Here is a 14,959-nt window from a genome sequence, read left to right as displayed (position 1 = left end):
GTAAATGATTTTATTTCAGGTTAGGAACTGTAAGCATTGAACATTAGCCAGCATACCAAGGAAATGACAGAGCAGCCATCTTACACAATCAAAGCAAGAAATCAATTATTTCAATGGCACTTGCCATGCTGAGCCGCCCTGCTGGCAGAGGGAGTCAGTGTCTGCCAGTCTGATGCTTGCCCCCCGCCTCCAAAGGAGGACCAATGCAGAGAATGCCCTGGAAAGCCCTGTATGAATGGTGGGTATGTAACAGCACAGACTATAATTGCACAGATTACCACCACTGAAATAGGGGCAGGCCCTACATGATACATCCCTGCTGTGCTACATTTTCAATTCACCACCTTGCACGGACCTCAGAACCGTCGCCAGATACTGTGGGACGTCGTTTATCCCGCACACAGGCTGGTGCTGCCCCTTTCTTTCTCTTGTCATTCACTTATGCACGTGTTCATTCATTCTACCGGCAGTAATAACAGGGACTGACATTTGATGAACATGACTAGGCAGCCTTGGCTGCCCTCCACATGGCGTCATTCATTCCGTTATCACAACGCCATGAGTGACTATTGGCCTCCGTGGGTCCCTGGAACCTGAGTTGGCTTCAATTCCCTACCCTACACTGTGCGGAATCTGAAGTCTCACTGAGATCTTGGGGAATTTTCAGGGTGCTTCAGTTTTCAGGGTCACCTTTGCTTCTGTCCCATAACCCATCCGTCATCCATCCATCTCCCATAGAGCACCTCTGTTTTGCATTGCATCTACCCAGATGTCGAAGTAAAACCAGAAACCAACCCATTTTCAAAGGATTTAACTCACAATGTGGGCAGAGAGGAAGAAAGGAAAGGTTTACGTGCACATTGTGCCTCAAATTGAATGACAGGTATCTTTATATTTCACCAGGTTCTTCAGCCAATACCCTGGGAACTACCAGGGCCCTTCCCATTGTTGGTCTCCATGTCACCCGGCTGCCCTCCCAGCTCTCCTCCATCCATTATACTTCCTTCCAAAGTGTCCCCCCAGAGAGTTCAAAACACTTCCTGCTCTTCTGTTCATATCTCAGCAGTTCTCCTATGCTTTTAACACCCTTGCCATATTCAAATCCATTAGGATATTCTACAGAACACAAGGGGTTCCCGTTTGCCAGGACACACTCTCCCTAGAAAGCCACCACACAAATCTCATTTCTCCTTTAGGATTCATTCATTCAGCAATGTGGTGAGCAGGAAATACTCATCGAGGTAAGTGTTTACTCAGGGCTGCCATGAGATCAGGAAGAAAGTGTGAAGGGGGCAGCCGATCCATAGATCAGCACCTTATATGTGGGGCCTTCCCTCAACAATGTGTGCCCCCTTCCACTCGTCTATGGTGGATGCTGTTCTTTTTCAGATTTTTGGCTGTCTTTCAACTTCCTAATTAGCCTCATGTCTGTGATCTCACTCCCCGACTCTTCTCCTCTCCTCTCTTCATTTTTTTTTTAGACGGAGTTTTATTCTTGTTGCCCAGGCTGGAGTGCAGTGGCACGATCTCGGCTCACTGCAGCCTCCGCCTCCTGGTTCTGGGCTCCTTCCAGCGATTCTCCTGCCTCAGCCTCCCAAATAGCTGGGCTTTCAGGCACCCACCACCATGTCCGGCTAATTTTTGGATTTTTAGTAGAGATGGGGTTTCACCATGTTGGCCAAGCTGGTCTCGAACTCCTGACCTCAGGTGATCCGCCCGCCTCCGCCTCCCAAAGTGCTGGGATTACAGGCATGAGCCACCACACCCGGCCATATTTTCATGTCATTTTTCTTACCATGTCACAGATGCTTTATGCTAGAAGAGAACAAAGCTAATATTTTATATGGTTTAGATGCTTGTTAAGGGAGAATGGGAGCATGACATGAAGAAAGTACGTAGAAGTAAAAATAAAAAATAAAAGAGAAAAAAAGGAAGGTGAAATTCACAGAAAAGCTGACATAGGGCAGTGACAGGACAGCTTCTTGGAGTTACTGCCAAGAGCTGAGACACAGGGGTGAGAAAGAGCTGCAGCTTCAGGTAAAAGCAGGTAACCAAGGCAGTTCTTAAGGGCGCCTCCAACGTTCACACTGGGATGTTCAGCTTCACAGATACCCTCAGAGGAGATCCAGGGTGGGCACTGAGCACCCAGATTCAGCCTCAGGGCTGCGGGTAGGGGAGGTCTCTCTGGTCGTGGGAGCGGCTATGCAGCCTAAGAACGGTTAAACAGATACACCCGTGTGATAAACGGCAGAGTCAGACACACACGCGCATCCCCTCACTAGCTTCCTCGTGCCCCTTTCCTGGGAGAGGGTGCTTGGGACCCCTGTGCTATCCTTACAACTCTCCATGAATCATGATTACATATTTCAAAATAAAAAGTTAAAAAGCAGAACTTGAAGAAAAACAAACAAAAGCAAAAAGCAAAGAAGGCAAAACAAACAAAAACCCCAAACTGAGGCTCCCCTGCCTGCCCCCGAATGGACCCAGGAACCTTTGCTGGACTGGAGTCCAGGTGATCTCTGCACGCCGAGGGGTGGATCAGAACTGGCAGAGGCTGCTGCAGTCTTTGCAGGGGACCATCAGGGGAGGTGAGTGGCCCGGCCCTGGTGCAGCTCAGGGAGGGTGGGCCCCCAGCTAGCTGCCCTCCATGCAGCCTGGTGGTAGAATCTTCCTGCAAAGCCTGGCATTCTACCGCCCCTGTGGAGGCTTCCTGGGCTTCCCTCTGGGGTTCAGGCACCTGGTGCTTCACAGTGACGGAGCGACTCAGGAGTCTGGGGCACCAGGGGAGGGCGTGGAACTCTGGAGCCTCCAGGCGCTGGGAGAAGAGCAGGTGGGACGGGCAGCCTTGTCTCCTGCCTTCCATCCTAGGCCACAGCTGGGCTGAAAGCCCCGTGGAAGAGAGGCCAGAGCCTCGCAAAGATAGACAAAAGGCCACGCTCGCTGGGCTCAGAGACAAGTAAAAGGCAGCAAGGCTGCCGGGGACAGCCCTGCGACGGGAACAGGGATTGATGTTCCATTTTAGTTGGTAAATGATAAAACGAATTATTCAAGCAAAGATCCTCATTTAAAAATCACTTGGCTTATTAATGGAACAAGAGCCCTAGCAGGTCTCTCTCTTAAAAAGAAACTTCTTTTCTCTCTTTCATTTTTAATGATTGGAGCCAAACTCTCCCAGATTAAATAGGAGCCACTTTCTGCCTTTTCACACTGGCTCTGCTGTTGCCACATTCCATTGAGAGGCTCTGGGAGTGCTTTTTCTTATGCGATTCATGGTCTGAAGTTTAAAGAGAAGTGAATCCGCAGAAGGTAAACTGCCTAAAAATTTCAGCAACGGCCATTAGCCCAGTTGCCAAAGGAAGGGCGGGGCAAGCTTTCTGTATTGGAAGTGAGATGAGGAAAAAACTCGGAAGAATGACCCACGGTGGACCCCCACGCGTGTGGAGCCCCCCGCATTCATCAGCAGGCCCAGCCGCTGGCGTCCTGCCTGCCTTGTACTGGAGAGGACTCAGGCCTGCTGCTGTCACGGCCACACTTTCTGGGGCTCAGGAAAATGCTCTCTGCCCCTCCCTGGAAGACTGCGGGAAGCCCCCACTGCCACTAAGTCATTTTCCAAAGCTTCGAGGCCTGTGTCCTGCCCCCTGCTCTGGAGTCTAGCAGGACCAACTATGGGCGGGCAGGCTCTGGGAGCACAGTGGGGAAATCCTGGGGGCAGGCGCGGACCAGGAAGACGTGCTTGCAGCCCTAGCGCTCAGGCAGAAGTGGGTGGCAAGTGTGTGCAAAACTGGTCAGCCCCCAGAGAATCCTCCTCCTCCTACTCCAACCCCCAGAATTCCCAAGCAGCTTCCCTGGGATGCCCTCTCTGGTGGTGATAGCCCAGCCTCTGTTGCCCGGCCCCTGGGCCCCTGCCCGCCCCTCGTTCCCTTGTGCCCTGTCCTTCTCAGGGGACCATGGGGATGCCTGCAGTCAAACAGAACATGGAGGGGACACAGAAGAGCCAGCTGAGACCCTGAAGGTCTGCCTTCAAAACGCAGGCAAAAGGCCCTCCCTCTGCCAGCCCCTCTTGGGCACAGGATGGGTGAGGGCACATCACCCGCAGCAGCCAAGTCACCATTCTCCCAGGGGCGGTGACTGGGTTGGTTATATTTGCAAAAAGCCCCAGCACCATTTCACAATCCTTAGGATGGCTATTATAAAAAAACAGACATTCACAAGTGTTGGCAAGGATTGGGAGAAAGGGGACGCCTTGTGCATCGCTGGTGGGGATGTGGAACCGTGAGGCCCCTGTGGAAAACAGCTTGGAGTTCCTTACACAATTAAACCTAGAGTTACTGCCGGGTCCAGCAATTCAACTTCTCAGCAGACATCGTAAGGAACAGGAAGCAGGACCCGAAGAGAGGTCTGCACCCCACGCTCACAGCAGCACCGTTCACATCACCAAAATGTGGCTGCAACCAACCCAGTGTCCACGGGCAGACGGGCACGAAAGCAAAGTGCCGCCTCTACATAGAATGGCAACCACTCAGACTTACAAAGGAAGGCAATTCCGACACACGCTTCGGAACATTATCATGCTAAGTGAAATAAGCCGGTCACAAGAGGGCAATTATTATAAGGTTCCATTTATGTGAGCATAGTGCAGTCAAAATCACAGAGACGGACAGTGGAACAGCGGTTGCCAGGGCCTGGCAGGAGGGGAAGTGGGAAGTTTGTGTTTAATGGGGACAGAATTTTATTTTAGGAAAAAGAATTCTGGAGGAGGTGATGTCCGCACAGCTATGTGAATACACTAACGCCGCAGAGCTCTGCGCTTCAAAGTGTTAAAACGAACGCTTATGTTAAGTGTAGTTTACCACAGTGGGAAAAAAGCTCCCAGCAACGGGCTGGGGCGGCCCAGGAGTGCTGGGTGCCACACACACATTGCTGCGATGGGCACAGGAGGCCACAGATGCTTCCTGCAAAGTCTGCTCCAGCCCCCAATGATCCAGGTGGGGGTCCTGCCCCGCAGCCTCTGGGATTGTTGCTTTAAAGCTGCAGATCTATGGGTGTGGAGAACACTCGCGGAAGTCAGGGTCACCGGTGTGGGGTGCTGTGTGGGGTGACTGCTCTCTGCCTGAGCTGTCGTGGTGTTAGGCACCTACCCCGAGCTCCACGGGACTGTCTCATCCTCCCTTTGTTTCACCATTCCTTCTGGGGGCTCGGAAGGTGCTGCGTGTGTGTTCAGTGCGTAAATGAGCCCATTTCTGTCCACACACAGGAAGGAGGGGTATACAGGGTGAAGAGGCTCTCCCTGTCCGTGTGGCTGGGGGTGGCCCATGCCCTGAGCTGCTTACAGAGCTTTACGGTTTGCAGAGCCCTTTCATGAAATGTGTCACTCGTTTAATCCTAAACAACCCACTGAGTTGGATCAGGTAAATAATAGCACCTCCCTGTTAGAGATGGAAAAACCGGGCTTTAGCTGGGTCTGAAACACTGACTTGCCGTAGGTTTCACTTGCAGAGAGAAGCAGAACCCGCCTTGAAAACTCATTTGGGATTGGTGGTGGTGTTTTAAAATCTGAACTGGGATTTTCCATCAGAGTCTCCTGCTATTAAACAACAGAAAGCCCTCGTGTTTCTGAGAGCAATTAGATGTCTCTGTGTTTAAAGAGCACAGTATGGACAGCTGGGGGGGAGATGGCACTCAGTGCACATTAACTGCAGGCTACATCACTGAGCACCAGCCCTGGACTGAGCTCTGTGCAGGGGCATCACATTGACGGTCTCGTCAGTTCTCCCCAAAACCCCAAGAGGCAGGTGCTCCTGTCACTTCCTTTCCCAGATGAAGAAACTGGGGTGCAGGAAGGTTGTACAACTCACCCTTGCTGCCAGAAACCATGCTTTTTACCACCATGATAGATGGTCTCCGGGAAGATCTAGGCTGTCTTACATGTTTTGGAACTTGGTGATGGGTGGATGGGATGAATGGGTGGATACATTGATGGATAGATGGACAGATAGGTGGAAGGATAGACAGATGCATGGGTGGATGGATAGGATGAATGGGTGAATAAACTGATGGATAGATGGATGAATGGATGGGAGGATGGATGTTTGGATGCATGAGTGGGTGGGTGGATGGATGGATGAATAGATGAATAGATACATGGATAGATGGATGGATGAATGAATGAAGAGATGGATAGATGAATGGAGAGTTGGATGCATGAGTGGATGGATGGGAGGATGCATGAGTGGATGGGTAGATGGACAGATGAATAAATAGATGGATAGATGGATGGATGAATGAATGAATGAAGAGATGGAAGGATGGATGAATGGATGGAGGATGGATGGGTGGATGGATGGGTGGATGAATGGGTGGATGGATGGGAGGATGCATGAATGGGTGGGTGAATGGACGGATGGATGGATGGATAGATGAACAGATAGATGGATAGATGGATGGGTGAATGAAGAGATGGATGGATGGATAAATGGATGGAGGAATGGAAGGGTAGATGGAGGAATGGATGGGTAGATGGATGGGAAGATGGATGGGTGGGTATATGGTTGTATGGGAGGATAAGAAGATGGATAGAGAGACAACGTAAAGCCAATAGGTAAGTTGATGGATGGACAGGTGGATGGGTGAGTGGATGGAGAAGTGAGTGGGTGGGAGGGTGGGAGGGTGGGGAGAGGAGGAGAGGAAGAGGAAGCGGGTGGTGCACAGGGGAGTACAGATAGGCAGACGGGTCAGTGGGTGAGTAGAGGGATGGATGGGTGAAGGGTAAAAGTATGAATGAGTGAGTGGCTGGTTGGTGGCTTGTCAGGTACATGGGGGAAGTGAGAGGGGAGGAAGGGTGGGTGTGTGGGGAGATGGAAAGAGAGGTGGGGAAATGGATGGATGTGAGCAGACGAGTGGGTGGAGTGGGTGGAGGGTAGAGTGGGGGCTGCCTCTACAAAGGAGAGACCACCCAGCCCGGGAGGGGGAAGCCGGGCTGGTATGCCTCCAGCAGCCTTGAGGTTCCCTGTGTGAAAGTCATTTCCCGGAGGCCCGGCGTTAACGATGCTTCCATCCTTTAATGGGGCAAGGGTCACACTTATCCTGGCACCTGTGGGTGGTGAGTTGGAAGGATCGGTGACACTGTTTTGCTGAAAAGCACAGGGTCGATTGTTGGGGGTGATATAGTGGGTATTGTATAAGTGCACAGCTCAGGAGCCACACTCCAGATAGGCAGGGCAAGGCCTCCAACTGAATTTCTGTTTTCAAGCAAACAAGCCCCATCCCAACATGCTCCTTCACAGCCTGCACTGAATGCATGTGCCCTGCGCTTCACTCTCCGCCCCAGGAGCATTTCTTCTGAAGGTTGCACTGGTGGAGACTCCAAACTCAAGCAAGCAAACTCAGAGCCTGCCCCGGTGTGCTGTGCACATCACAGGAGGCTACACGTGTGTGCCAGCGCATCCCGGATGATCTGACGTGTCAGCAGAGCCTGGCATCATCCCGACAGCCACTTGCGCAGCCTTCACGATGCACTGGATGGTGCCCCACTGTCAGATGGAAATAACCTGCGTGGCTCCACCCACACCTGGCTCCTTATGGCAGCGGCTGGGTGGGGAGGCGCCGTCTTGTGGTCTGCAGTTGCAAGGGAGGACACGCCTCCTGAGGGCCCCATTCACTTACTACCGGCCGGAGGACGCGTGCCACCCCCACTGCTGTCCACACCTTCAGCCACTTCCCAGTAGAACAAAAGCTGCTGTGGCAGACAATGGCAGAAGCCAGCCAAGAGGGTGCTCCTCAGGGGTGGTTCATGGAGTCTGAGTCAGAATCTCAGAGGTGCACCTGAGAATGCAGATTCCTGAGCCCCACTCTTTTTTTTCTTTTTTAGAGATGGAGTTTTGCTTTGTTGCCCATGCTAGAGAGCAGTGGCGTGATCTCGGCTCACTGCAACCTCTGCCCCCGAGGTTAAGCGATTCTCCTGCTTCAGCCTCCTGAGTAGCTGGGATTATAGGCACATGCCACTACACCCAGCCTAGCTAATTTTTGTATTTTTAGTAGAGAGGGGTTTTCGCCATGTTGGCCAGGCTGGTTTCGAATCCCTGACCTCAGATGATCTGCCCTCCTCGGTCTCCCAAAGTGGGATTACAGATGTGAGCCACTGCACCCAGCCATGGCCCCACTTTTAAACAAAGCAACCAAGCCCCACCGAACTTGAAGCCCTGGCTCCAGTCCATAGTTTTCTTCCAAACGGGACAGCTCTGCGTCCCCAGCACTATGGTGACATGCACAGTGGACACAGACGGAAACGCCTAGCAGCCATCACGGTGGGAGAGTCAGGGGCCTCCAGGGGAGCCACGCTGTCTTATGCTTCCCCTGTGCATCCCCAGTCCCAGCTCGAACACCTTGGACACAGCGGTGCTTAGCAGGCAGAACTGCAGACCACTGGGAACCTCTGGACTTCTCCTCTGTCCTCACACGTTAGATCCTGTCTCATTCCTCAGTCAATGTCACCTCCTCAGAGAGGCCCTCCAGGATTTCCTGGGGCACGCCCACCTCCTATCCCTGCTCACTTCCTTCTTACCTTGTGTCTCCCTTGTCAGTAACTGTGGGTTTCACCCGTCTACCTTCCCACGGGCACAGAAATGTAGCAAGGGCCCCGTTCATGCTCTACCCCAGCCCCAGCAACTGAAGGGCTCTGGACGGGTTTGGTGAATGAATAACTGAACCCTGTTTTCTACCTATTTCTACCCAGAGAGTCATTTCAGTTTCAAATGGGTATCAGGGAGGATCTGAACATGACCAAGAATTATAATCCATAAGTTGGTTCTTGCCAACACTAACTTTGGGATCCTGGAGTGTCTTGGACTCTGGGAGAATTTTAAATCACAATATAAGCTAACTTCCAACCAAATGTGACTTCTTCCCCAAGAGGAGGAGGAAGGCGCTGAAGCCCCATGCAAGAGCAGTGCAAAACGGGGAGCCTGGATCCCACAGCCAGGGGCCTGCAGGTGTGGCCGTGCCCTTCCCAGCAGGTGTGAGCCCCAAACCAAGGCCCTGCCTGACCTGCCCCGCTGAGCGTCCCATGTTGAGCTAAACCACAAGCCCTGAGCCAAGCAGAGTCCTGGGGATCTCTGACACTTCGCCCTTCCCTGCTGACCGTGGTCAAGAGCATCCTGGGGCCCCAGTGGCTGGTGTGAGCGGGCGCCCAGGCAGACTCTTCAAGCCCAAGTCCTACTCCCAGGTGTATCAGGTACAGCCATGAGGTCACAGTACAGAAGTGTTAGGAGGATGCAACATGCGCTGCACACACACCAAGGCATAACTGGCAGCTGGCAGACGCCTGACTGGGCTGGCTGGGGATGGTGGCTGAGGTCCAAGAGGGACTGGGGTGGATTTGCCTCCGAGCACTGCTCTGCATCCTGTGTTCATGGCTGTAAGCGGCGGCACCTTCTGGGGCTGATGCTGCCTCTGCCAGGCTCCCTGGGTGTCAGGGAGCAATGTGAGAGGCCTCACACCGCCTCGGAGCCCGGGCAGAGGTGGAAAGCTGGGACAAGGCAGTCAGCTGTCCTCCGAGCCACAGGTCATGTCTCCCTGACTCCTTGCGCTGAGTCACAGGGGACTCCCTGACTCTCACCCTCTGCCTCCTGTTCAGCTGGTTCCATTTGCAGAGGCCTGAAGACCATCTAAGGAAGGCGCCGCATCGGACTCAGGCTCCAGGCTGCAGGGAGGACGGAACCTGGACACGCTGGGCACCGAGCACCTTCCCATGGGGGCAGGGAGCCGCGTGGGACAGTTTTTGGCAGGGACAGGGCAGCCTAGCTTGTCTGGGGCTCCTAGATTCTTCTCCATGGCTCTGGCCACCTCTGTTAAGGCTGGAAAAACCGCGGCCGCCTTAAGTGATCATTACTAACAGGTTTCCCTGTCACTGGAAGATCAACTGTCCAAGTTCGCAGCTGTCTCAAATTCATCTTTAACTTAAAAAGAAATATCAATAATTAAAGCCAACCACACGTGCCAGGGCGACAAGTGTGGAGGACAGATAACAGCCCACCATTCCTTTGATTACAGCTCATTTTTGCCTTGGGGAATTTTAATCCCTAGACCTTTGGAGTCCAAGCTCTTAATTATTTTTTTTTTTATTTCATTTCTGGCATCAGTGAGCTCTCAAAACATCTGTCTCCAGCTCTCCCTGCCGGCTGCTCCCAGGGACTCTGGCTGGAGTCAAAGCTTTTGGCCAGAGGCTTCCTGGAGGGCTCCGGCTGGGGGGCTGGGCTGGGTGCACAGAGCCACAGGGGGCTCCCTGGCCTGCACCGCCTGGCCTTCCAGTGGCCATTTCTGACCTGCTTCACAAGACAAGCACGTGCCTCCTCCCAGCCCCTCTCTGCTCTCCACGGCGCAGCTATGCAAAGTGGCAGCTGCTCTGGGGACTGCAGCTGAACCTGCGTGGCCAAGCTCCTGCCTGCCTGTGCAGATCAGAGGCGGCTCCCGCAGAGAGAGCCTGGGAAGCTTGCGAGATGCCTTGGCTGAGAGGCACTTGCCGGCACACGCTCATTAAGCATTTATCAAGCCTCCACTGTATGCAGCGCACGGCCAGGGATGGTGATGAGATATGAAAGTGAGACACCATCCTACCCTAAAGGAATGTGCAAGCCAGGAAGGAGAGGGGCCCATCATCCATTCCTCATGTCCCCACACACTTGTCTGTGCCCATGATGTGGCTGGTGTCCAGAGACGACCTGGGATGCAGAGGCAGGGCTGGGGAGCAGGCTCTGTCTTCTTGGCTGCAAGTCTCTGTGTGACATCCCAAGTCAGTGGGCGTGAGTCTAGCCTGGCAGCTGCATTCAACAGACCCGCTGGGCGGGGTGCACCCGGGCCATCCCCCACAGGACCTGGAGAAACTCCAGATGCCCGGCCTGTGGGGCTGGAGGCCCTGCTGCCTGGTGGACGGCGTTCTCCTGTAGCAGGAAGGGCACCTGACCTCCTGGCAGGGCAGGAGCTCGGCCTCATGCTCTCTGCCTTTAATGAATGTGGAGAAAATACGAGTTTGTAAAGCCAGGCTTAGAAGGGCAAGCAGAGGAATGAATGAATGAATGAATGAATGAGCTGGCAAACCCAAAGTGCAGTGGGGAAGCCAGCTGCAGGCAGGTGATCCCTGAAGTCGCTTTGACAGAGCAGTGACCGGCTGAGCACAGGGGTGGGGGTGCCCGGTTCCATGTGCAGAGGGGTGGGGGCGGCAGTGAGGAAAACCGTGGCACGGCAGGCGGCACCATCTCTACGAGACCTCAGCACCTGTGTGTGTTTTCAGGCCGACGCAGCAGCCGGGGGTCCTGGGAAGGGGAAACCGCACATGTGAATGAGACACAAATAGCTCAGGAAGCTGCGGGCTTCGGGGCTTGGGTCAGCAGGAGGATGTCTGCGGCGATGCCAGAAGAAACCCAGCCTCCTCAGGGTTGTGTCCACGCGTCCCCACACGGGAGAATGGCTGGGCCACAGGGGTGAGGTGGGAATTCCTGGTGGGGCACGTTGGCTTTGTGCTGTGTGAGGAGGTAGGGCGCAGACCCCTGAAAGGCCATGGGGAAGGCCAGGGGGCCCAGGAGGCGGCTGGCCTGCAGGGAAGGGAGGGGTGAGAACAAGTCCTGGGCCTCGCTGGGGGACACCGACACAAAAGGGAGAAAGGACGAAGGGCTAGAAGTGGCCGCCTCTCACAGAACCACCCTGCCCCACCCTAGCGGGCAGGGACCCACCCTCCTCCACATCAAAGGGATCCTGCACCAGGCCGTCTGGACACCCCTGCATGACACCAAGTGCCTGGGCCTCAAGTCGAGTCGGGGGGCGGGAGGCACTGCTGTCCCAACCAGGGGGCCTCAGCTCTACCAGGCACACAAAGGACCTTCCTGGGGTGCCCTCTCTGCCCGTCCGCTTCCCCATTTATAAAAACAAAAAGCAGTCATGGTCGACACAAAGAGCTCTCCATGCGGGCACATCTGCTCCGCAGGGGACACTTGGCGATGTCTGGTGACCTTTTTGATTGTCACATTAGGGGCAGGGTGCTCCTGGCATCCCCAGGGGTGGAGGTGGGGAGGCTGCGGAACACCCCACAGAGCACAGAGGTCCCCACCCCAGCCAATGAGCGGAGAACGTCTTGAGCATTCACTGTGCCAAGGGGGAGACCTGAGTGTTCCCTGCTGTCCCACGGGCCTGAAGCCGGCAGGCAGGCTGGCACCTAAGTGCCACCAACACCCTGGGAAGTTCTGGGTGGAACTCTGGCACAGTCAGGTTTCCAGCAGACGGTTCCCTGGTTTGCTCACCTTGAACCACTGGCCTGATCCCCAGAGGACACACCCCTGGAACGGGTCCTCCAACCTGTGTCTAGACAGAATTTATCATGCGTGTGCCCCTCTCCTGCTGCCCCCAGAAGCCGCTGAGCTGATAGGCCTTTCTCAGCACCCACCCACCCTCCTCCAAAACACGCTTCTTCTGACTCTTTTCCCCTAAAGCTTGTCTGGTTCAGTGATTGGAGCTGAGGCTCCTCTTGCCACCGTGTGAGCCAGGGTAGGGTCCGCCCTCCTACAGGATTCGGAAGAGGATTCTGAAGCCCTGATTTTCAGTGGCTCTCAAAGAACCAGGAGGCAAGGGCAGAAAACAAACATGTTTTCTAGAGTTGCTCATTCTCTGGCCTGAATTCAGTGCTTCTGACCCTTCGAGCGCAATTTAAAAAATTCAGGAGGCTCTGAGTTACAATGGCTGCCTTCCTATCATTCTAAAATCTATAGGTGGAGGTGACAAGTTACACATTCCTTCCTGTTCACTCAACACGAGCAACCAAGCTGTCTCCGGCTCCAGGACCACCTGCTGCTGGGTGCAGAAGCAGACCTGCTGCCCACGTTAGCTAAGCCCGGGCGTGGAAAAAGGCCTGACCCAGCAGAATGGACTGGCAAGGCCGGGCGCCAGCCAGCTCACAGAGGAGCTTCTGCCCTGTCCCTGTTAGGCAGTGAACCCGTCCATCCTCTCCAACCCCTTCTGTGCCACCCCCACCCCCCACAACGCACTGACTTCGGGAACACGGGTGCTTCTCCTTCTGCTTCTGCAAGTCACGTGCACACACACACACATTCTTGGCTCATGAGCCCAAAGTAATGCCCCCACATCAAGGCCAGACAGAAAACGCAGGTGACAGTGCAATGAGACCAGTGAAACTGGCCTCTGCAGCTCCAGGTCGTCTTTGGAGGGTGCAGAGGTCGCCTCCAGCTGATTCCCTCTGCTCTGACGTCCCATTTAAAACTGACCCCCACCCCTTGGCCTGCTCCGCCGTTCCCTGACCCAGTCGACAGTTCAATTCTGGTTAACAACTCTCCCACTGCCACCTCTAGAATGTCCCCTTCCCAAGGGCAGGGTCTCGGTCTCTTCTGTTCCCTGCTACAACCCCTGAACCCAGGACTCGGCCAGACACACGGTAAGTGCTCAAATATTGCAGGGGCTAAGTGTGCCTTGCTGTGCAGTGAATGGCCCATGCCAGCCCAGCACTCAGCAGGGGCGCTAACGTGGGTGCAGCACTTCCTAGCTGGTCAGGTCCTGTTGGATCCTCACAGCAACCCTACGAGGTGGGACGAGAAGTCAAGGTTACATGATGTGCGAATGGAAAACTCGGGCCAAGTGATAGCTCAGCTATAGACCCTGGTAGGTCACAGTCTCCTTGAGCCTTGGCATCCTTATCTGGTAAGTACAGATGATGTGGTATAACTGCCCTGTGCTGAAGGTGAACACGGGGCTCAGAAGATGAACCCATGATGGTAACTCTTGGGTCTGTTACGACATTAATTTTGTGAAGTGTGGAGGCTGCAAGCATCTGAACGGTGTCTGCTCATACAACCAAGTCTAAAAGCAATCCTGAAAAACAAAATTTAAAAACCCTGTTTTTTCCTCTTGAAAATCATGTTGTTTTCGCTGCTTTGAGATTTGTTTTCATTGATCTGCTGATATTTGTTCTCATGATAAGCAGATGATCGTTATTCCTGACCCTAATATAGCCCTGTGTTTGTCATGCTTCCGACTCCCACATGCGCTCTTTGGAACAAACTATCACGCAGACTGCTCAAAACTGTGGACGCCTCACATCCAAATCCATAATAAAGATGCCAAGCTGGTTCAGCAAATGTCAGAGATTTCTGATGTCATGGAGAAAGAAAAAAAAACTCCTTAAATATTTGAATGTTGAATGAATATACTAATTAAATCCACAGAGAAACAAACTTGGTCAAAATGCCTCTCCCTCCCTGCGGTCGAGTGAGCAGACTAGGATCACGCCTGGGTCCGGGTGCCTCTGGAGACCTCACAGATAGTCCATGCACAGCTCGGGAGAGGTGCTTCCCTCTCGTCCCGCCCTGGTGAGTTTTGTGGGGATTCTTACACGTCCTATTAGACACTTCAGCCTCAAAGGGCAACACGAGAGGCCCAGGAATCTCCCTAGCCCCATGACTCGGAAACAAAAGCCCCTCTTGCTCAACTTGGGTTCTGGGCCTTACAATGTGTCTGCGATTATAATTAACTGGGTTCAGCTCACCTGCCAGTTATTCTGTGGCCCCAGTCAACTGCTCTATCTGTTTCCTGGCCTCCTATGCTGCAGGTTCTGCAGATGGTGTTTCTGGGATCAAGGGGCGCCTGGCAGGCGGTGAGGGGCTCTCCGAGCGGGTCTGTACTATCCCCCATGCCAGCGTCGGCTCCCTAGAGCTCAGAATGCCCCGACTCTTCTTCCTTCTGCAAACATGCCCTGCAGCTCTTTGTAAACCTGGCTCTGTTTTCTCCTCAACAGAGAATTCACCACTGCTTTCCCTGGGCCCCTGGTCCAGTTCTTCTGAAGTCTTTTTGCCCTCGAAGTTGACTTTGTCTTTTCCTCTCTTTGTCCCTGTCATCAAGCTGAGGATCTCGATTCCAGAGATCCCAGGTTTGGCCACTGAGGCTTGGTCTCCTGGCTGCCTGGCCT

At 53.8% G+C, this 14,959-nt stretch overlaps 1 protein-coding gene across 5 annotated transcripts in view, besides 2 other annotated features; it reads right to left on the bottom strand.

The window, feature by feature from the left end:
• The window catches only part of CDH4 (cadherin 4), a 688,357-nt gene that overhangs the window by 301,108 nt on the left and 372,290 nt on the right, over positions 1 to 14,959 (bottom strand). The window lies entirely within an intron of this gene.
• Positions 9,824 to 10,482: an enhancer, noted in NCBI's record as "H3K27ac-H3K4me1 hESC enhancer chr20:60204084-60204742 (GRCh37/hg19 assembly coordinates)". NCBI's record gives its function as "activates a minimal SCP1, AML or CMV promoter by ChIP-STARR-seq in naive H9 embryonic stem cells {active_cell/tissue: H9 hESC(naive)}" and the evidence as "EXISTENCE:reporter gene assay evidence [ECO:0000049][PMID:30033119]".
• Positions 10,483 to 11,142: an enhancer, noted in NCBI's record as "H3K27ac-H3K4me1 hESC enhancer chr20:60203424-60204083 (GRCh37/hg19 assembly coordinates)". NCBI's record gives its function as "activates a minimal SCP1, AML or CMV promoter by ChIP-STARR-seq in naive H9 embryonic stem cells {active_cell/tissue: H9 hESC(naive)}" and the evidence as "EXISTENCE:reporter gene assay evidence [ECO:0000049][PMID:30033119]".

Source organism: Homo sapiens, chromosome 20, assembly GCF_000001405.40.
Source record: "Homo sapiens chromosome 20, GRCh38.p14 Primary Assembly".
NCBI lineage: Eukaryota > Metazoa > Chordata > Mammalia > Primates > Hominidae > Homo > Homo sapiens.
The sequence above is the reverse complement of the archived record's forward strand: the minus strand, read 5'-3'. Positions and strand labels throughout refer to the sequence as shown.